Genomic DNA, 24,049 nt, shown 5'->3' with positions numbered 1-24,049 from the left:
AACATAAATGCTTTCTATTAGTCAAGCAACAAGTTCTGAAACGTGTTTGAAGTAATAGTCACAGAGATTTACTCTTTTAATAGTGATAGGTTTTATTTTTCTATTTGATATTGACAAAAAAATGTCTGTGCTACCCAAGGAAGGAAAATTCTTAGATACCATTTTTGATGGAAGGGATTTTTTTTTTCCTCCTGGACAACACACTCCTCTGTGAAACTTGAACTTATAATCACTAAAGCAACATCACAGTGTTTTATTTCTCTACCTATCACTGAACTCTCAGCATTCCCCAGCATTTTTCCCTTGGTCCTGTTTCCTTCTACATTTTTTTCTAATTACTTTAGTTATCCATGAGTGACTGCATCTATTACCAAGGTTTCGAATTAAGTACATGTATTGCGTTCTTTCTAGGTAGTAGTTCATTCTCTTTAAAACTCTGGCCAGATACCTCCAACAATCATATTAAACTCAATGTGAAAAAATACAAACTAATTATTCTACCCCCAAATCCACTCCACTTCCAAAAGAATATTTGATAAATGATGCCACCATCCTCTCTAGTTCAAAACCTAGAAGCTTTAAAATCATTTCTCTCTTCCTATTTTACACAACCAACTCCTATCAGATCTTGAGTTTTCCAAGAAGTTATCTGCATAATTTATCTTGTCTTCTTCATCTTCAATGCAATTCCCTTAATGAATCTAAAGCCCCTCTTCTAGGGAAGTGCAACAGCTTCCTATACATTATATTCTTTTGCCACAAGGCTTTCCTCTCTCCAGTCTATCTTGCAAAGTCTTATTAGAGTTGCTTATGTGAAATAGATATGCTTATGCACTCATGTTGAAACACCTATTGACGTAGAGTCATTTATAATAGAAAGTACAAAATTTCTAACATGATTTATATGACTCTTTACAGACTGTTTTCAAGCTGTATCCAACACATCTGTCACCTGCACTTCTCACAGTTTTTCAAAAACCTCTTATATTTTTTAAAATTTGTGCTTCTTATTCATGTCTACTTTATCCCACTAGTAAACTCTTAAACACTTTTCAAAATTTGGGATAGAAACTTCAAATGCTCACATCTGTGTCCCCCTCTTTTGCTTGGGAAAGTATTAGATGTGGGTCTATGTTGCCAGCTTCCAGACAATTTTAATTATAATAATATCAATCATATTAGTAACAAAAAAGTAATCAAATCAAATCAAAACTAAAAAATGGAGAGATACTTTATATTTATAGAAAAAAAGACTCAAAATTCTAACTTGATCTATAGATTTAACATAATTTCAACCAAAATCCCAAAAGTTATTTTGTGGATATCAGCAAACTGATACAAAGTTTATATGGAGAGAAAAACGACCAGAATAACAAACACAGTTTTGAAGAACAAAGTCAGAGGACTGACACTATCTGACTTCAAGACATACTATAAAGCTACAGTCATCAAAGCAGTATGGTATTAGTGAAAAAAATGTACAAATTGATTAATGGAAAAGAATAGATAGCCAATAAGTAGACCTATATGAATATAGTCAACTGATATTTGACAGAAGAGAAAAGACAATATAATAAAGAACAAATATTTTTTCAAGAAACGGTGCTGAAGAAACTGGACATTTACATGCAAAAAATGATAATCGAGGCGCAGACTTTATGCTCTTCACAAAAAAATTAACTCAAATGGATCACTGGCTTAAATATAAAATGAAAAACTGTAAAGCTACTTGAAGATAACATAGCAGAAAATATAAATGTCCTTGGGAATGGTGGCAACTTTAGTTACAAAACCAGTCATGATACATGAAAAAAATAATTTTTAAGCTGGCTTCATTAAAATTAAAAACTTCTGGCTGGGCGTGGTGACTTATATCTGTAATCCCAGCACTTTGGGAGGCAGTGGTGGGTGGATCATTTGATGTTAGGAGTTCGAGACCAGCCTGGCCAACATGGTGAAACACTGTCTCTATCAAAAAATACAAAAAAAAAAAAAATTAGCTGAGATTGATGGCGTGCACCTTTGATCCCAGCTACTTGGGAGGCTGAGGTAGGAGAATCACTTGAACCTGGGAGGCAGAGGTTGCAGTGAGCCGAAATCGAATGGAGTGAGACCCTGTCTCAAGAAAACAAAACAAAACAAAAAAAAACTTATGCTCCTCAAAAGAAAGACATTATCGAGAGAGTGAGAAGACAAGCCACAGACTTGGAAAAAATATTTGCAGAAGACACCAAAAAACTGTTATCCAAAAAATGATATGACATGATATCTAAAAACTGATATCAAAAAAGTTATCCAAAATAAACAAAGAGCTTTAAAACTCAACAGTAAGAAAATGTACGAACTGATTTAAAAATGGAACAAAGATTTCAACAGGCACCTCATCAAAAAATATAGAGATGGCAAATAAGCATATGAAAAGATGTTCCACATCATATATTATTAGGAAATTTAAAATTAAAACAATTAAATTACCACACACCTAATAGGATGGCATAAAACCTAAACACCGACAACACCAAATGCTGGTGAGGATATGCAACAACTCTCATTCATTGCTGATGAGAATGCAAAATGGTACCACCACTTTGAATGGCAGTTGGGCAGTTTCTTGCATAACTAAACATACCTTTATCTTACAATCCATCAATCATACTTCTTGGTATTTACCCAAACTGGTTGAAAAATATGTCTGTATAAAAACCTACACACAGATGATTAAAGCAGCTTTATTCATTATTATCCAGAACTTGGAAGCCACCAATATGTCCTTCGGTAGGTGGATGGGCATATTCAAACAATAAAATATTATTCCACACTAAAAATAAATGAGCTCTCAAGCTATGAAAAGACATGGAAGAAGCTTAACTGCATATTAGCAAGTGAAAGAAGCCAATCTGAACAGTCTACATACTGTATTATTCCAACCGTGTGACATTCTAGAAAAATAAACTATGGAGACGGTAAAAAGATCAGTGGTTGCCAGGGGCTGAGAGGGAAGAAGGGATGAATAGGAAGAATATGGATAATTCTTAGGGTAGTGAATTCATTCTGTATGGTAATATAATTTGGATACATGTCATTATACATTTGTCAAAACCCATAGAATGTACAATACCATGAATGAACCTTAGTGTAAATTATGGACTTTGGGTGATGATGACATATCACTTATATTCATTAATTGTAACAAATGTACCATTCTGCTGAGGCATATTGATAGTGGGAGAGACTGTACGTGTGTGGGGTTAGAGGGTATATGAAAAGTCTTCATATTTTCTGCTCAACTTTGTTGTGAACATAAAACTGCTCCAAAAACTAGTCTTTTTAAAAAAAATAGACTCATCTCAGTGTGACAACAGAATGGACAGTTGATAGCTAGTGAATCCGTATAAAGTTGTACAATCCAAAAGGATAGGATAGAGAGCCAGAAAAAATATATCACAGGCACCAGAAAGGAGATTTCAGTGACAGGGAACCCAAATGAAGAATGTTGTCCCCTCTTTATTCCCAGCAAGGCATCAGGAATACTGCACATTATTCCTGGAACACAGCAAAATGGCAAAAGAAGAGGAAAGGAATTGTAACAAATTGCTTCTAAGATAGCCGTCAATAATTATTGTAACCTCATATCTACAACCTTTCATAATTCTTTCTCTTCAAAGTTAGGAGATGTCACTTCCATGATTACACTAGAAAAGAGTCTCATTTCCACCTTGGTAGCTGACTCTCTTCCTTGAGTATTTAATGAAGCAAGTTGACATGTTGAGAAGACCCATGGAGCAAGAAACTGAGGATGACCTCCTGACAACAGTCAGCTAGAAACTCTGGCTCTCAGTCCAACAGCCCCAGTGAAATGTAATTATGCATACAACCATGCAAATGAGTTTGGAAGCAAATTCTCCATTTGAGCCTGCAAATGAAACCCTAGCCCTTGCTGACATTTTGAATGGTGCCCCATGAGAGACTCTGACGCAGAGGACCCAGGAGAGTTGTGCAGACTCCTAACCTACAAATACTATGAGTAAATAAATGAATATTATTTTAAGTTCCAACTTTGTTGTAATTTTTATGCAGAAATAGACAACAAGGGGTTGCCAGCTTCCTCTGCGAGTTCTCAACTTATTCTAAATGTTGTGCTCTTATTGATTATGTTGATGTTGCTCTGTGTCAGTGAAGCTTAACCAAAACATTAAGCTGAACCAACACATGCATTTGGAAACTTCCATGCAATTTAGTGAGAAATATTACTTGAAAAAGCACATAGTGACAATATAAAAAATGCATTGTCTGAGTCATTTTGCTTAATAGACATCATCCTCTACTAATAAGTTAGATATCATCACTATATTTTTGTTAGTAGATGTAATAACAACTGAGTTTTCTTCATTAACTGGTACTGTGTGACCTTAGACAAATTATGTAAATCCTCTGAGCTCCAGTTTCCTCACTTTTTAAATGGCTATAGGATGAGAATTACATGAGTTAATATATAGAAAGTTTTATTAAAATTCTCAGACAACAGAATGCATTTAGTAAATGTTAATTATTCTTATTATAAAGATTATAAAGGGATTCCAGTTACCTGTTAAACCAGTTTGCACCAATAGAAAGCCTATGGTTATAGAGCTAAGACAGCTTTCCCATGACACTTTACTGATATAATTTCTTAATTACTCATTTTTACTCATTGTTTACTAATGAAAAGAGAAAATTTTATAGTTTACCAAAAAAAGGTTTGCTAGGTAAATGTGATGTAAAGACTCTACAGAATTATCAAAAGCGTCTTCAGTGGGTACTTCTTAGAAAAAGAAGCTAAAGAAAGAAGAAGGGGAAAAGCCGATCTTTCAAAAACTTAATTAACTAAATATGTTATTTTCATCATTAAATCATAGCAAAATAGTAAATCAAAGAAATCCTTCTTCCCTTGTGAACAATCCTTTTCCCAAACCTGAATAAAATAGACTCTGCTGAAAAGCTCAGCAAAATGAGAAAATCACGGATAATCTTCAATTGCATGTACTCCTTGGGATTTAAAAGGAACAAGGTCCATTTGTTTCCTGTATAGAGCCAAATAAAAATATTCTTGATTTAACCAAGCATGCATGGATTTAAAGCTATTACTTAACCATAGTACATTATCTTTCCTTATTGAGAGTATTGACTTTATGATCAGCTTATTAAACAATGATTGGACATCTTTTCTAAATAAACACCTAACAAAAATTCTTATAAGTGTTTAATACATATAGAATACCCTACAATAATGTTTTTCTAAAAAACTATTTATAAGAAACATGTACTTAAGAAAACATATAAACCAGATGAGATTGAAAAAGAAAATCTATTTCAAGTTTATTTAAAGCCACTAGCAAAAATAAAAGCAATATGGGCTATACGTCTCTGTTCCAAGAACTGTATTAGGTATCACCTAATTTTCAAAGTTATCTTGCAAAGATTCCTACAAGGTAGGTGTCGTTTCCATATTCTTTTTACAGACTAGGAAATTGTACCTTTGAGATTATTTTATTTACTAAGATTTATGTAGATTTATGTTCTCACTGTACTTATACTAAGCTTTTATGGGATTTCTCAGAATTAAAGCCCTCTTCACCTAGGGACTTGACAAAATCTGGTGACTTCTAATATTACAAAGAAGGAGCAAAGCAACTTTTTAGCCAAGAATAAATTTCTAGGAAGGATTATTTCCCATTGAACCAAATATCTGTGACAAAACCAAATAACACATCAAAACTCTGAGATTTCAGATTAGAGAGGTGACATGCATTGTAGCCTTAACTTTCCTACTATTCCACTGAATAATTATAATCTACTTTTCAGATGATCCGAGAAAGGAACTGCTTCACAAACACGATGACTAACTCTTTAATTTTTAAACTTTTTGGATTTTGTTAATATTGTATTTTACAGTTCAAATTAAAAAATCAGAGCCATTGCAATATTTTGTCAGTAATTTCTGAGCCATGATAAGCATAAGGAAGGTTCAGTGAGCTCACAGTACAGAACGGTGGATCTCTTGCGGAGGCAGTTGCCATGCATGTGGGTGATTGCAGTCACCCTAACACAGCTGAGGGCTATGGAGGTGTAGGGTGGGTTGGTCATTGCCAAGTACAGTTTTCTACTGGCTGGTGGTAACTAAATGACCTGGAGTACAAATATCATCGTTACTCAATTTTTGTGAACTCAAGCCCTCCTGTCATCACTGAAGAACAGCTTCATATGATTTTGAAGAACTACCAGATTCAAGCTGTGTCAGTATTCCAGGTTCACATAAAAATTTAACTCAAACCTACTGGCTTAAAACAACAGAAATTTATTCTCTCATAATTCTACAGAACAGAAACCTAAAATTAAGATGTCCTCAGGGCCACAACATCTCCAAAGGCAATAGGTGAGAATCTTTTATTGCCACTTCAATCTTCTAGTGTCTCCAGATGTTTCTTGCCTTGAGGCTGTATGAGTCCAGTATCTGCTTCTGTCTTTACCTGGTTTTCTCTCTTGTGTGTCCTCCTCTTTGTCTGTTATAAAACCAGGTGATACTAGACTTAGCAACTGTTCCTAACCTAGTATGATTTCTTCTTGAGATCCTTAACTTAGTTATGTCCATGAACAACCTTTTTCAAATAAGTTCACGTTCACACATTGGAAAGGTTAGAACATATTTTTTGGGGACCATCGTTCAACCCACCAGATAAACCTAGAGTTCAAGATCTCAGGCTTTGGAGTCGGGTACTCCTTGGTGAAAATCTGGTGTTCAGTTACCAACTGATGACCCAGAGCCCTTTTTCTCATCTATAAAATGTAGGGGATAGCGTAAGCACCTATGTCCTGGATTTGTAGTGAAAAAAATCACATGATAGAAATAGTAAGATTCATAACATTGCATCTGATATGAAAGTTCTCTATTATTACTAGCTATTTCATCAATAATTCATGTTATTGGAGATGTTTGAGCCTTGTACAGACAATAGCAGCAGGCCAGCATCCAGTCGGAGAAAATCTGAAATGTGTACATCATTGGCCTCTTGCTCCAATTGAGCTAATTTTGTAAGATATCTCAAAAATAATGGAAAGTTAATGATCATCCAGGCCAATTAACCAGATTCCAAAGATGATAAAAATAATGCTGAGAGACAGAGAGCATGTTTATCCATAAATACACAGAATGTTGGCAGCACAGCAAAAACTAGAACTCAGGACTTCATGCTGCCGATTCAGTTCCTACCTTTGTATGCTATTGCTTGTTAGATAAATCATTACCGGCAATTATCTTCCTCAACATAAAGAGAAATGTGAATCTTGAAAAAAATAAGTATTTTTCATTTTAGATATTTTTCCAGGCTAACTCTGTGTGATGGTTAATTTTATGTGTCAGCTTGCCTGGACCATAAGGTGCCCAGATATTTGGTTAAACATTATTCTGGATGTGTCTGTGAGGATGTTTCTGGATAATATTAACATTTGACTTAGTAGACTAAGTAAAGCATATTGTTCTCCCTAGTGAGGATAGACCAATTCCCTATAACAAATCAGTCTATGTGTGTGTGTGTGTGTGTGTCTGTGTGTGCGTATGTATATATAGTGTATGTATATATATGTATGTGTATATATATGCTATATACTCTGTGTGTATATGCTTATGTGCTCTCTATATATACATATATTATCTGTGTGTGTTTATATGCATACACACATATATAATTATATACTTTGTGTGTGTGTATGTGTGTGTGCACATAGTCATACACTATATTGATATTTTGGTCAACAATGGACCAGATATGTGACAGTGTTCCCACAAGATTATAACGGAGCTGAAAAACCTCAATCACCTAGTGACATCTCAGTGATCCTGACCCTGTGTAGGCCTAGGATAATGTGTGTGTTTGTGTCTTTTTTTTAATAAAAAAGTTTAAAAAGTAAAAAATAGAGAAAATAGAAAAATAGAAAAAAAGCTCATAGAATAAGGATATAAAGAAAGAAAATATTTTCTAAAGCTGTATAATGTATTTGCATTTTAACCTGTTATTACAAGAGTTAAAATGTTAACGTAGTTAAAAATAGTTAAATGTTATTACAAAAGAGTTAAAATGTTAAAATAGTTAAATGTTAAAATAGTTAAGTGTTAAAATAGGTAAAAAGCTTATAAGGTAAAAAAAGTTAAATAAGCTAAGGTAAATTTATTATTGGATAAAGAAAATTATTTTTAATCTAATGTAGCCTAAGTGTAGCTGCAAGTGTATAGCAATGTCCTAGGCCTTCATTCACTTATCACTCACACATTGACTCATCAGAATGACTTCTAGTTCTACAAACTCCATTCATAGCATGTGCCCAATACAGATGCACCATTTTTTATCTTTTATATTTATTGTACCCTTTCTATGTTTATATATGCAGATGCTCACTATTATCTTACAATTGCCTAAGTATTTAATATAGTAATGTGCTGTACAGATTTGTAGCCTAGGAGCAATAGGCTATACCATATTCATAAGTTTGTGGAAGAACACTCTATGATGTTCACACAATGACTACATTGCCTAATGACACATTTATTGGAACATTATTAAGTGACTCATGACTATATATAAGCATATATGTATATATATATACACTCAATGTCCACATATATACCTATATATTCTATATACCTATTCTCTCTGTACATATATCTACACAATATCTATATTCTCTTTATACATATATATTCTCAGAATATGTGTATATATATGTGTATATATTCTGTATACATATATAGATATATATACAGAGAGAATATATATATGTATGCAGGACATATATTTACACAGACAGTGTATATATATGTATATATACGTAGACACACAATGATTATAAGAAATTGTCATATATACATTGTAATGGTTAATTTTATATTTCAACTTGACTGTACCATGGGGTACCCAGATTAAATACAATTTCTCCGCGTGTTCATGAGATTAGCATTTGAATCAATGGATTCATTAAAGTAGATTGTCCTCTGCTATGTAGGTAGGTATCATTGGTCCACCGTGGGCCTGAATAGAACAAAAAGGTTGAAGAGCAGAAATCTGCCCCTTTTTCTTCCAGTATGCCTACTTGAGCTGAAATATCATTTCTCTTGCCCTTGGACTGGTATCTACACTGTTATCTTCCCTGATCCTCATGCTTTTTGACATGGACCAGAATTACAACATTGGCTTTCCTGTTTCCTGGGTCTCCAGCTTGCAGATGGCAGAACATGGGACTTCTCAGCCTCCATTAGCATGTGAGCTAATTCCTCATAATATAAATTCATGTGTGTGTGTGTGTGTGTGTGTGTGTATGTGTATCCTTAATATATTAATATATTTAATTAATATTATATATTTTATTAATATTATTTACACTATATTACTATTATATATACTATCTTAATATAATATATACTGTTATTTTAAATATTCTGTTCCTCTAGAACCACTCTTGGTACCAAAACCTGTGTTATTCAGGATTCTCCAGAACAATAGGATAAATATATCCTTGTTATTGATATTTGTAGCCAAGGATAATCATTTCAAGACAATCATATAAACCTCTTTGTTTTTACTTTAAAAACCTTTGTCTCCCTTTACATTCCTGAATATGCACATGGTTTACTATGATATGAGTATTCCCACTGCAATGCTTTATTCCTCAATAAACTAATAGGATATATATATCCTCTTTGTACCAGGAGTGGTTCTAGTGGAACAGAATATTAGGAATAAGTTTCCTAAATTGGTTCCAGATTTTCTGAAATTGGGTCTCTAATCTGACTAGATTTAAAGATAGTAATGACTCTACTATTAGTAGTAAAGAAAGCCCTGATAATCCATGACATGATATAGAAATAGAGATACACCAACATGTAACTCTAGCCTAGGAGAGCTGCAGGTATGAGACACACAGCTGTCTACCACAAAAGCTGCTGTGTAGGCTGTTCCCATTAAAGTCACAGGAGCTGGGCTGCCTTGGGGCCTTAGGGATCCAATCCCACCCCAGTGTGTCTGGGAGGGTAGACATGGAACCAAGAAAGATTATTTTAGAGTCTTATGATTTAATGTTGTTTGTTCTGTTGGAGTTTGGACTTACTTGGGGCCAGTTATCTCTTTCTTCTTGCCTGCTATTTCTGCCTTTTAAATTGGAATGTTTATTCTATGCCTACTTCACCATTGCATTTTGGAAATAGATAACATGTTTTGATTTCACAGGCTCAGAGCTGCAGAGAAATTTGCTTCAGGATGAATTGTACCTTGAATTTTATCCATGTCATTTAGATAAGACTTTGGATTTTGGAATTTTGAGTCAATGTTAGAATATGATAAGATTTTTGAGGCTTTGGGATGGAATAAACATACGTTGTACATAAGAAGGACATGACTTTTGAGGGACCAAGGTTAGAATACCCTGGTTTGAAAGTTTGTAAGTTAGAATACCCTGGCTTGAAAGTTTGTCTCCTCCAAAACTCATGTGGAAATTTCATTGCCATTGTGAGGCTATTGGGAGGTGGGACATTTAAGAGGTGTTTAGCTCTGAAGGTTTGTAGCCTCATAAATGAACTAATTCTGTTTTCATGGGAATGAATTCACCCCCTCTTTCACGCTGTCTTTCTCTTACCTTTTTGTCTCTATGTGAAATGATGCAGCAAAAAGGCCCTCACCAGGTGTCAGATCCTTGATCTCAGACCTCGCAGCCTCTGGAACTGTAAGAAATAAATTTGGTTCTTTATAAATTACTTAGTCTTAGATATTCTGTTATAACAATAAAAATGAACGAAGACAGTTATCCAGAAGGCTGTATTTGCTCTGAATCAGTATCCAATATCTGGTACTGTTTCTCCAATAGCCAGGATTCATGGGTCTAGGAATCAAGGGATGGAAATGGGACTGACATCACTCACTATTATTTCTAGTGACCCACTAGCAAAATTTTTGTTTACTCTTCCCACAATTATATGTAATGCTGGCTGGCCTAGAAGTGTTAGTTCTAGAAGGACGAATGCTTCCACCAGGAGACACACAATGATTTCATTGAACTAGAAATTAAGATTGCCACCCAGCCATCAGGCTCATTATGCATCTGAATCAACAGCAAAAAAGAGAGTTATTGTGCTGGCTGGGGTGACTGACTGACTACCAAAGGGAAATTGGAATGTCACTTCATAATGGAGGTAAGGAAGAGTATGTCTAGAATACAGGAGATTTCTTAGTATTATCATGTTCTGAGATGAAGGTCAATAAAGAGCTACAACAACCCAATTTAGCCAGGATTAATGAGGAGTAATCATCCTGCTAATGAATTTCCAACAGGTTAAAGACCAACCAGCTACGGTGCTTGCTAAAGGCAAAGGAAATTCAGGGTGGGTGGTAGAAAAAGGTAATTATAATTACCAGCTATGACCACATGAATAGTTACAGAATTAAGAACTATAATTGTCATGAGTGTTTTTCCTTACATCATTATATGTATATATATATACAGCAAATATCTGTTTTCTTCCCACTGTTATTCATTTCTCATATAGCATACAATATTAACATCACATCATAGTTTCAGTATTGTTATACATAATAGTATTTAGTTACAGAATACCAAGTGGAAGAGTAAATACCACTCAAAGATTTTATTTCTTTTTTTCTTCTAGAAGGAGCTAGTGCATTTTTGGTTGTACTAGGATAGTCATATCATGTAAAGTGAAATTATGATTTTGTAATTACCTTTATTTGTAGATTAAGTATAGATGTATATGAATAAAGTATAGATGTATATGAATGAATAAATATAAATATAGATGTATATGAATGAATGAAGATGTAGATGAATGCAAATTTGACAAGGGGTGAAGTTATGATTGTTTACTTTATGTGTCAACTTAACTGGGTCATGAGGTGCCCAGATATTTAGAATAACATTATTTTTGGTGTGCCTGTATGGATGTTTCTAGATGAGATTAACATTTGCATAGATAGACTTAGTTGAGGAGTTGGCACTCCCCAATGTTTGTGGGCCTGGTCCAATCTGTTGAAGGCCTGAGTAGAGTAAAAAGCTAAGTAAGAGATAATTCACTTTCTCTGCCTAATGGTCTTGAGCTGAGATATCAGCCTTTTTCTGTTTTTGGACCTAGACTGAAACCTACACCATTATCTCTCTTGGTTCTTGGGCCTTTGGGCTACAGATCCTGGGACTTCTCAGCCTCTGTAATTGCATTAGCCAATTCCTCAGGATAAATCAATCTCTCTCTCTCTCTCACTTTGTGTATCAAACTCTCTTTCTCTCTCTGGCTCTATGTGTAGGTGTGTATGTATATGTGTGTGTGCATTCTATATGTATTATATATATCCCCTATATTATATATAGATATATCCTAGGTATGTTCTCTATGTATATATATCTTATTGGTGAATCTTGACTAATTCTCTAGCATTCAGGCCTTTTTATTCACATTTGATTTTAATATAGTTATTTTTCCATTTATCTTATCTCTCTTTTAGAGTACATGTTCCTTGAGAACCTAAAAAAGGTCTTTCCCCACAATGAAATGTTTTTGATAGCAGAATGACTGTATCTATAAGACACAGCATAGGGCCAGGCACATAGTGAGTTTCAAATAATCAATTATTGAATGAGTTAATATTCCTAACTTATTCTCACTTAATAAATATTTATTAAGTTGGACATTGAGAGACGCTCACTGTTTAAAAATTCACTTTTATATATTCTACAGAGCATGCTGCACATGGTTAACGTTCAACATGTCTGTTGAATGTACAACATAAAGAGTTTTGAAAGATTGTAAGCTGGTAACCTGATTTCCTTCAAATTAAGATAAGGCTAAGCTCATCTTAAATTACCTTGATGGTTCTAATGCCACTTCTAACATACTTCTAACATTTCACTTGGTAAATTTTATTTTCGGAGTTAAAGATAGTATATGAGCCAATGTACTAAAAATGAATTATGACACTAGTTTGGCAGCTATAAGTAACTTCAGGGCTATGCCAAAAGTACTTTTTAACATGGCCTTTCTAGCCTGGAATGAGGAAAGGTCTGCTGCTGTGGCATATTGCTGGACTTTGGAGAGTATATAATCACTTCCACAGAACTTCTAGAACAAATGGCAAGTGTGCCACTAAGCTGGTTGATACTGAGTCTGGGTGCCAGTCATGGATTATATTAAAAGAAGCAATTATAATAGAACAGCCCTATTACAAAGAACAGCTCTTTGGCAATTATAATAGCAATTATAATAGAACAGCTCCATGGCAAAACCCCATCTCCACTAAAAATATAAAAATTAGCTGGGCATGGTTGAGCATGGCTGTAATCCCAGCTACTTGGGAGGCTGAGACAGAAGAATCGCTTGAACCCAGGAGGCGGAGGTTGCAGTGAGCTGAGATTGCACCACTGTACTCCAGCCTGGGTGACAGAGCAAGAATCCACCTCAAAAAAAATAATCAATAATAATAATAGTAGTAGTAGTAGTAGAACAGCTCAAGGCAGAACCACCTGGAGAGGAAATCCAGACTGCTTTTCAGGCCAAGGTACCAAGATGTCAAGTTTACTTTTATTTCAATGGGCATGCTCATAAAACAAAGCTAAAACCAAATTTTTTTTTAAAACCCAGGAGATAGTACAGTAAGCAGAGTATATTAGTTTAGGACTGATGTAACCAAGTACAACAAAGTGGGTGGCTTCAATTACAGAAATGTATTTTCTCACAGTTCTGGAGGCTAGACGTCCAAGATCAAGGTATTAGCGGGACTGAACTCCCTCTGATAGCATTAAAGAAGATTTTTCATGGAGTTCTCTTCCTGGGTGCGTGTCTCAGTGTTGACATTTCTCCATTTTAGAAGGACACAGTTATATTGGGATAAAGAGTTCATCCTACTCCAGTATGTCTTCATCTTAACTAATTACATCTGTAACAAACCTATTTCCAGATAAGGTGTTATTCTGAGATAGTGAAATTTGACTTCAACATCCAGGAAGTGGGGATTAGGGAGGCACACAATTCAACTCTTAACACACAGTAACTGCAGCAATAAAAGACAGGTGTCAACCAGACAAGATTTTTGGATGGGCTTGGTAATTCAAGGTTCTCTTATTTCATGCACCAACAGCCTCATGTATAGGTTGGCTGATCTGGTTTGAAAGCTGAAGGTAATTTTTAATGCAAGGTTCTGTGAGGGCACAGTCTCTCTTTACTCACTCCAGTGGCAGCCTGCTGAGCTGAACTAAGAAACCCAAGCCAACCATACCAAATTTGAAAATGCAGGCACAGGGCCATTGGCCAGAACAAGTTCTGTGCTTATCACCTGGACAATTTGACAGACATTAAAGAGCAGGATTTGATAAATGTCAAAGAGCAGCGGGCAAAAAGCCTGACGTCTTTTAGAAGAAAGACATCATTCAATTATTTGTCCTCACTCTGAAGCTGATTTTTTCAGGCTGCTTAACACTGTACAGTTTTAGCTCTTTGAAATAAAGCACTTAGGAAGAGATTGCATGTTGTTTCAAACTGAAAGAGACACTGTGCTGCTTTCCCACTCTTTCTTGAACTAATGTGGCTATTTTCCAACATTAATAAAAAGTTCTATTTCTGCAAAAATAACCTCAAACTGCATTCTCTCTCCTGAGTTTCAAGGATTTGATGACAAACTTGGCATACTAAATTTTGTAGATCCCAAAATTGATGTTGAACACAAAGGAAAGCCCAGTGCCCTTTCCTTGTATTCCATGGTAATACAAGAACATGATTATTTTTGGACTGAAGCCACTTAACGCAAGCACAGCTGTGAAGGTCTTGTCTCACTTCCAGAAGATAGTCTTTATATTCCAACGAGTATCCAAAAGTCAGAGAAACCAAGCTCAGACAGTATTATTAATATGAAATATTATGTCACACTTGGTTTTCAAAGATAGTAAATCCACCAACACCAGTAAAATTAAGTAAATATTTGAAGTCTGAAGTTAACATCTATAAAGGAGCCAGGAAAAATGAAAATTTCAAAATTTTGGTTTAAGAAATATCTTTTTAGTAATTTTGTCCCTGACCATTAAAGATAAACTATATGTTGACTACAGAGGTGCTATTTATTCAGTGATAAAACTTTCATTTAAATTGAAACTGTTAAGGATAAATATCCAGTCCTGTGAAAATGACTGAATGATGGAGCAACATGCATCTATAATGAGGTTTTAGATACACCCAATCTGATCGTGTTACTCTCCTACCTAATGTCCTGCCAATGCCCTGTTGAATGCAGGACAGTTTTCAGTCAGCCTTTAAGAACCCGGCCTTTGGTCTACTATTCAGCCTCCTCTCTATACTCATCTCCAAGTCACTAGCTCTCTTCTAGAACCACATTACACTCACACTCTTCCCTGTTTTGGTTCCCTTCTTTAGAAGCCTTGTCCATCTTCATTCCAGGGCTTGGTATCCCACGAAACAAGTCTCCAAAATGGGTTAAGATGCTTGTTTTAAGTGCCATGCTTTGGTTACCTGTTTTGCAGCTGTTATCATACATTTTGTAACTGGAGTTTACAAATCTATCTCCTTCACCAGCTGAATGGTCATTGACAGCAGGGACTAAAGCACTCATATGTATTGGACAATAGATGTTTACTAAATAATTATTCGAATGAATAAGTGAAAGCTACTGTAAGATTTTGATTGACCATATCACACGTATGAAATAATAATCAAATGTGGTTGCAAAACATAACTAAAATAATTAAATATTATTCATAGAAAAATTATGTTCAGTATATGAGGAAATAGCTGTGCTCCATTCTGTACTGAATTAGCGATTCTCCAGGGGGTTTTCCTCAGTTTTGGACACCATGCTTTTTAATGACTTTTTTTGTTTGTTTTTACAAACAGTGCTAAGTTTCTTTATGAAATCCTGAAAAAAATTATTTCAAATATTGAATTCCCTAGTATCCAGAAATAACATTTGTTGATTATTTTTGTTTCTATTTTCCAGTCTTCTTCTAAAATTTAATAAGTATCAACATTTCAAAGGAATCGTAACAGATGAGACTATATTAATATAATGTTTACATGATGGTAAAGAATTGAGAAACAATTACTAATACTAAAAATGGGAAAAGTGGCTTTTATTAGAGGCACAATGACTTTTTTTGTTGCAATACCTAAAAGATCACCATGCAGAAGAAGAATTAAGTTCAAATCCATATCTTTTTTAAAAGAAAACTAGTATCAAAGAGGTAAGGTTGTGGTAGCTATATTTCAGCTTCATATATAAATGATAGTATTTTTTAAAATTACAACTTTGTAAAAATCAAAGTAGCTTCCTTTTCAGGAAATACATTTCTTTTACCTAGAGATAATTAAACTGAAGCTGGTTTATTACTTGGTTGATAATATTAGAGAAGTGACACATACATCAAATTATTCCTGGAGATAAACTCCAAAATTCTCCCAAATATAATATTTAGTGATGATGTGACAATGAATTTTTTAGATTATTGAGAATAATTTCAAGTAAATTAATTTCTTATATTATGGGCAAGAAATAATACATTAAAGGCAGATAAGTCATTTTACAGAGGTTCAACAAATAGAGATTATATTTATAAAATATTACATTTAAAAAGAGAGATATATATGTGTGTTGTTGAATATATATAGTGAATATACATACATATATGTGTATGTGTGTATATACATATGCATTCATATATATCTATGATATATACATTTACATCTATGTATGCATATATATACGCATATACACATATGTATGTATGCATATATCTATATATACATACACATGTATGTGCATATCTATATATATACACATAAATATATATGTATGTATATTCAACAACAGCCATATAATCAAATATTCACTATCATGCTATTCATAGTAGCCTCTATCTGGAAATGATCCAAGACCCCTCAACAGTAGAATAAGCAAAAATTATATGTTTACACAATGAAATGCCTTATACCCATGATAATAACAAAACACCACTATACATAACAGCATGAATGAATTTCACAAGCATCAAGTTTACCAAAAGACACAAAAGAGTAAATATTACAATCAGGCAAAGCTAACGTGTGGGGTTTGAAATGAGGATGGGGTCAGACTTGTGGATGAGTTTTTACTCAAAAGAAAAATCTGGGGCCTTCTAAGGGTGGTGAGTTTCTGCTTTTTGACATACGTATTTAATCTGTGAGAATACATTGAGCTGAGTACATGACATGTACATTTTTCTGTGCACAGGTCTTACTTTCATACAAAGTTTTTAAAAAAGACTCTACATTTATTAGTTTTCTGTTTTCAATACTACAGAAAAAGCCATGTGGCAAAGTTATGATATTTATATTTTAAAGAATTCAAAGTTCTCAGTCCTTGATTCCTTAAGAGGATCTAAAAATGTGAAATGTTTTTAAAATTATCTAAACACTTATGAATTAAAAAAAGTGTTTTAGAGATAAACATTAGCAATGAACTCTGATTGCCTTGATGTATATCTTCTAATTTATGCTGAAATCCATATATAGTGGTGTAAAAATTAATGATATATATATTTTAGGTTGGTTTTCATGCTGTTTTATAAATATGTTAGTTTATTTGTCACAGGAATATAGTTTGTCACAAATAGTTTATTTGTCACAGGAATTTCTGTCCAGCAGAAATTGAACCTCCTACAATTTTTAAGCATTTTCATTTTTGAATAAAAATATATTAGCCATAATACTGGGCTTCCACAGGGCCTTCCTCTTACTCAGTAAAGCAGGTGCACTGACTTATCAGACCACAGACCACACTCATCCAGATAATCTCTATGCCAACAGGAATTTAACTGCCAGCTCCTTCAGATTTTCCAAAGTCAACAAAATAGGTATGGATGTTACTCCTGGAACTAAAAATTAATATTGTGGCATGTAATTAAACAAAAAATAATATTTTTTAAATATTAGCACCTTTGCTCTATGAGAGTGATATGGTTTTGACAGGTGAAGCTAGCTGGGCCTTTGGGTCCAGTGAGGACTTGGAGAACTCTTCTGTCTAGCTAAAGGATTGTAAACGCACCAATCAGCACTCTGTAAAAATGCACCAATCAGCTCTCTATATCTAGCTAAAGGTTTGTAAATGCACGAATCAGCACGCTGTAAAATGGACTTATCAGCACTCTGTAAAATGGACCAATCAGCAGGACATGGGCAGGGACAAATAAGGGAATAAAAGGTGGCCACCCATGCCAGCAGCGGCAACCCACTTCGGTCCCCTTCCACGCTGTGGAAGCTTTGTTCTTTCGCTCTTCACAATAAATCTTGCTGCTTCTCACTCTTTGGGTCCGCACTACCTTTATGAGCTGTAACACTCACCGCGAAGGTCTGCAGCTTCACTCCTGAAGCCAGCGAGACCACGAACCCACCGGGAGGAATGAACAACTCTGGACGTGCCACCATTAAGAGCTGTAACACTCATTGCAAAGGTCTGCAGCTTCACTCCTGAGGCCAGTGAGACCACGAACCCACCAGAAGGAAGAAACTCCAGACACGTTCGAACATCTGAATGAAAAACTCTGGACACACCATCTTTAAGAACTGTAACACTCACCACGAGGGTCTGCAGCTTCATTCTTGAAGTCAGCAAGACTAAGAACCCACCAGAAGGAACCAATTCCAGACACAGTTTGACTGTGTCCCCACCCAAATCTCATCTTGAATTGTAGTTCCCATAATCCCCATGTGTTGTGGGAAAGACCTGGTGGGGTCTTTGAATCATGGGGGTGGTTATCTTCACGCTTTTCTTGTGATAGTGAATTAGTTCTCACAAGATCTGATGGTTTTACAAAGGGTTTTCCCCCTTCTGCTCAGCACTTCTTTTTGCTGCCACCATGTGAAGAAAGATGTGTTTGCTTTCCCTTCTGCCACGATTACAAGTTTCCTGAGGCCTCCCCAGCCACGAGGAACTGTGAGTCAATTAAACCTCTTTTCTTTATAAATTACCCAGACTCGGGTATGTATTTATTAGCAGTGTGAGAATGAACTAATACACAGAGTTTGGCATATGCTTTCTGAAAATATCCAGATAGTAAATATTTAGGCTTTGCATGTCATATGCTCTCTGCCATAACTACTTAACTCTGCTTTTCTAGTGTGTAAGCAGCCACAGACTATAGGTAAATAAATGAGTGTTGCTGTGTTCCAATAAAACTTTGTTTACAAAAACATTGAGTCAGCCAGTTTTGGCCCATTGGCTGTAGTTTTTCCAAATCCAGTTCTAAGAGAATAAAAAGGTGTTTTGATTTGTTTTATTTTGTTTTTTCCTTTTCCATGTGGTTAAGAAAGCAGTAGAGTATCTGTTGTTCATCATTCAGCAGTTGCTAATCTGGGATAACCAGATCTTTGAATTTTCTTAAACTTTTCTCAATATTAAAGTTTGATGAAGACAATATATTTATCTAGTATGCACTGACTAACAGAAATGTCAGTCTTCCATACTTTTCACTAGAGTTTCCCCATGTTCTTCTTATTGAAATATTTTTGCAGCCTTTTTTTCTAGTTAATCCACCCCTTAAAACTTTGCCTAAATTTCATATCTTTACAAAAGCCTTTCCTGTGCCCGTGGGTCATCTCTTCTCACATGACACCCACTATTTCTCTTTTTTATCACTTATTATAGTTCCTAAGCAACTTAGAGCAGTTGGTAATATTTCAGAATCTAAAGCCAGACATCTAGGCTTAAATCTCAGCTCTGAATTCATTACCTTTGCAACGTTTAACAAGTTGTCAACCTCCCTATGCCTGTGTCTTTGTCTTTAAAACAGAAATAATAATAGTTACCTACTACATGGGGTTTTGATGATTAAATGGTTAAATGCATATAAAGCATTTATAACAATGCCTGCACACAGAAAAAATTATGAGTTAGCCATTGTTAGTAACAGTGAAGTAAACAGATAATTTATTCATTCACTTAAAAATATTCATGAAGCAACTACTACATATTGAGTATCCTTCTTTATCATATAAACTCCATAAATGTAGAAATTGGGTTCCCATAGTTTTCTATTGCTGAATAACAAATAGGCACAAATTTCTGGCTTATAACAATACCAATTTATTAGCTCTTAGTTCCCTAAATCATAAGACACCCAAATCTATGCTAAGGGTATCACAAGACTGACATCAAGGTATTGGCTGAACGAGGTTCTTCTCTGGGGACTGGGAGAAAGAATTCACTCCTGAGATTATACTCTCAACCTTACTATCAGCAGATTTCATGTCCTTACAGTTGAAGGACTGAGATTTCTTTCTTGTAGGCTTATAGCTGAGTCCTATCTCAGCTCCTATGGACGGGAGATTTTGTTTTTGACCTAGCAATGAAACATTACATCCCCCTCACATTTTATATCTCTCTGACTTCTTCACTTACCACTAGCCAGAGAAAACTCTGTAAAAACATTAAGAGCTCATGTAAAAACATTGAACCTACATGGATAAGTCGGAATAAACTCCCTACTTTAAAGTCATTTGTGCCCTAAAGCATATTATCACAGGAGTAACATCTCAGTGTATTTACAGGTTCCAGGAACTAGGACAGGCCATCTTTGGCAGCAGCGAAAGAGGAGTGAGGGGAAGGCTTAAAATCCTGTCTACAAAAAAACACATAATGAATGCTCAATAAATATCATGAAGGAAAAATAACTTAGCCATATTACTGTGCTTCCAAAAGGTCTTCCTCTCACTCAGTAAAGTAGGTTTACTGACTTAGTCCACAGACCACAGTCATCCAGATTATCATGTTGACCAGAGGCTTTCATTGATCAAAAATAAAGTTATTTATTATTTCTGAATAATGTCTTCTGGATGGACAAAAAAAAATTCCTAAAAATATAATTTGTGGAAGAATACTTTTAAAAGATTCTTTAAATCCCACTTTGTCATGCTATATTATCTTTTTGATATGCTGTTGAATTCAGTTTTACTAGTATTTTGTTGATGATATTTTTGCATTTATGCTCATCAGAGTTATTGGACTCCATTTTCTTTTCTTGTAGCATCGTTATCTGGCTTTGGTATGAGGGTAATTCTGGCCTCAGAAAATGAATTTGGAAGTGTTCTATCATCTTCAATTTTTTGAAAGAGATTGAGAAAAACTGACATTATTAATTCTTTAGATGTTAAATAGAAATGACTCATGAAGCCACTTGGTCCTGGGTTTTGGTTGTTGTCATACAGAGGTGCCTGATTACTCATTCAATCTTCTCGTTCATTGTTGGGCTGTTTAAGAGTTTCTACTTTTTTTTTTTTTTTTTTTTTTTTTTTTGAGACAGAGTTTCACTCTTGTTGCCCAGGCTGGAGTGCAATGGCACAATCTCGGCTCACTGCAACCTCCGCCTCCCAGGTTCAAGCTATTATCCTACCTCAGCCTCCTGAGTAGCTGGGATTACAGGCATGCGCCACCACAACCGCTAATTTTGTATTTTTAGTAGAGACGGGGTTTCTCCATGTTGGTCAGGAGATTTTCTAATTTTTATGATTCAGTTTGGGTGATTGTATGTTTCTAGAAATTTATTTCTTCTAAGTTATCCAATTGCTTGGCATATTGTTCATGATTCTTTGTATTTCTGTAGTATCAGTTGAAATGTCTCCCCTTTCACTTGTAATTTTATTCAAGTGCTCTCTTTTTTCTTGCTTAGTCTTGCTAAAGCTTCGTCAATTTTATTGATCTTTTTTTAAAAAAAAAACAAACAAAAAACCTCTTAGCTTTGTTGGTTTTTCTATTGTTTTACTAGTTTGTATTTCATCTATTTTTATTCTGATCATTATTATTTCCTTCCATCTGCTGACTTTGGGCTTAGGCTACTCTTTTTCTAGTTTTTTGTTTGTTCGTTTGTTTTGAGATGGAGTCTCACTCTGTCACCCAGGCTGGAGTGCAGTGGCGCGATCTCGGCTCACTGCAACCTCTCCCTCCCAGGTTCGAGCGATTCTCCTGCCCCAGCCTCCAGAGTAGCTGGGATTACAGATGTGTGCCACCACACCCGGCTAACTTTTTGTATTTTTAGTAGAGACGGGTTTCACCATGTTGGTTGGCCAGGCTGGTCTCGAACTCCTGACCTCAGGTGATCCACCTGCCTCAGCCTACCAAAGTGCTGGGATTACAGGTGTGAGCCACCGTGACTGGCCTCTAGTTTTTTAAAGGTATAATATTAGATTGCTTATTTGGGATGTTTCTGTTCTCTTAATGTAGGCATTTATAGTTAAAAACTTTCTTCTTAGCACTGCTTTTGCAGCATTTCATAAGTTTGGGTATGTTGAGTTTCCATTTTGTTTCTCTCAGGATACTTTTTGTTTTCTCTTTTGATTTCTTCTTTGACCCATTAGCTGTTCAGGAATGTGCTGTTTGATTTCTACACATTCATATACATTTAAAAATTCTGTACATTATTGATTTCTATACAATTGCTGTCAGAAAAGATTTCAATGTTTTTAAATTTATTAAGACTTGTTTGATCCAACACATACTCTATTATGGATAATGCTCCCTGTGCAATTGGGAAGAATGTTATTCTGGTAATGTTAAATGGAATGTTCTGTAAATGTTTGTCAGGTCTTTTGGTCTAAAGTGTAGTTCAAGTCAAATATTTTCATTTTGATTTTTTTGTCTAGATAACTTGTACATTGTTGAATATGTGGTGTTGAAGTTTCCTACTATTTTTGTGTTGCTATTTCTCCCTTTAGTTCTATTAATGTTTGCTTTATATATTTTGGTTATCCAATGTTGGATGCATATAGATTTTCAATTATTATATCCCCTTGATTGATTGATCCATATAGCATGATACAGTGACTTTCTTTTACTCATGACAGATTTTGACTGAATGTCTATTTTCTCTAATATAAGTATAACCACTCCTAGTCTGTTTCAGTTACCATTTGCATGAAATACTTTTTTTCATCCCTTTATTCTCAGTCTTTGTGTGTCCTTAAGGCTAAAATGAGTAGGCATTGAGTCCATTTGTGCCACTATAACAGAATACCAGATACTGGGTAATTTATTCAAAACAATAGAAAATTATTTCTGATGATTCTGGAATCTGGAAAAATTCAAGATCAAGGTGTAGGTAGGATTGGTGCCTGATGAGCATTGCTCTTTACTTCCAAGATGGCAACTTATTGGTGCATTTTCTGGAGAGGAAGAATGCAGTGTCCTCACTTGGTAGAAGGAGGTAGAAAACAAGAGAGAGCTTCCTTCAACTTTCAATCTCGAGCCCTTTTATAAGGGTGATAACCCCATTAATGTGAGTACAGTCCTCATGACTTAATTACCTCCCAAAGGCCACATCTTTTACAACTGTTACATTGGGGATGAAGTTTCAACATAAATTTTGGAGGGGATACCATTATTCAAATCATAGCAGCAGCATATTGCTGGATCTATTTTTTAAAATCCATTCAGTCATTCTGCTTTTTTTGAGTTGAGAATTTATTCCATTTACATTTAAAGTAATTATTAATAAAGAGGGCTTACTATTGATATTTTATTAATTGCTTACTGACTGTTTAGTTGTTCCCTTGTTCCTTTTTTCCAATCTTGTTGTCTTCCTTTGTAAGTTGTTAAATTTGTGTAGTGATATTGCGTCCCATCTGGGTCACCAAAATGTGTCCAGAATTTGTTCCTTCCAGTGGGTTCTTGGTCTCGCTGACTTCAAGAATGAAGCCACAGACCTTAGCGGTGAGTGTTACAGCTCTTAAAGATAGTGTGTCCAGAGTTTGTTCCTTCAGATGTTTCCAGAGTTTCTTCCTTCCGGTGAGTTCGTGGTCTCGCTGACTTCAAGAATGAAGCCGCGGAACTTGGCAGTGAGTGTTACAGCTCTTAAAGGTGGTGCAGACCCAAAGAGTGAGCAAAAGCAAGAGCGCTGATTGGTGCGTTTTTACAGAGTGCTGATTAGTGCATTTACAATCCTTTAGCTAGACAGAAAAGTTCTCCAAGTCCCCACTCAACCCAGGAAATCCAGC

At 35.1% G+C, this 24,049-nt stretch overlaps 1 long non-coding RNA gene across 3 annotated transcripts in view; it reads right to left on the bottom strand.

Moving 5' to 3' along the window:
* Window positions 1-24,049, bottom strand: part of LOC105374510 (uncharacterized) — a 428,164-nt gene that overhangs the window by 90,991 nt on the left and 313,124 nt on the right. For all 3 annotated transcript variants that reach the window (XR_001741602.2, XR_001741601.2, XR_925445.3), the window contains one exon: window positions 10,660-10,744. This is a non-coding gene — a long non-coding RNA (uncharacterized LOC105374510). The remainder of the gene's footprint in view (window positions 1-10,659; window positions 10,745-24,049) is intronic.

This window comes from Homo sapiens, chromosome 4 (genome assembly GCF_000001405.40).
Source record: "Homo sapiens chromosome 4, GRCh38.p14 Primary Assembly".
Lineage (NCBI taxonomy): Eukaryota > Metazoa > Chordata > Mammalia > Primates > Hominidae > Homo > Homo sapiens.
This window is presented reverse-complemented; position numbering and strand designations above follow the sequence as displayed.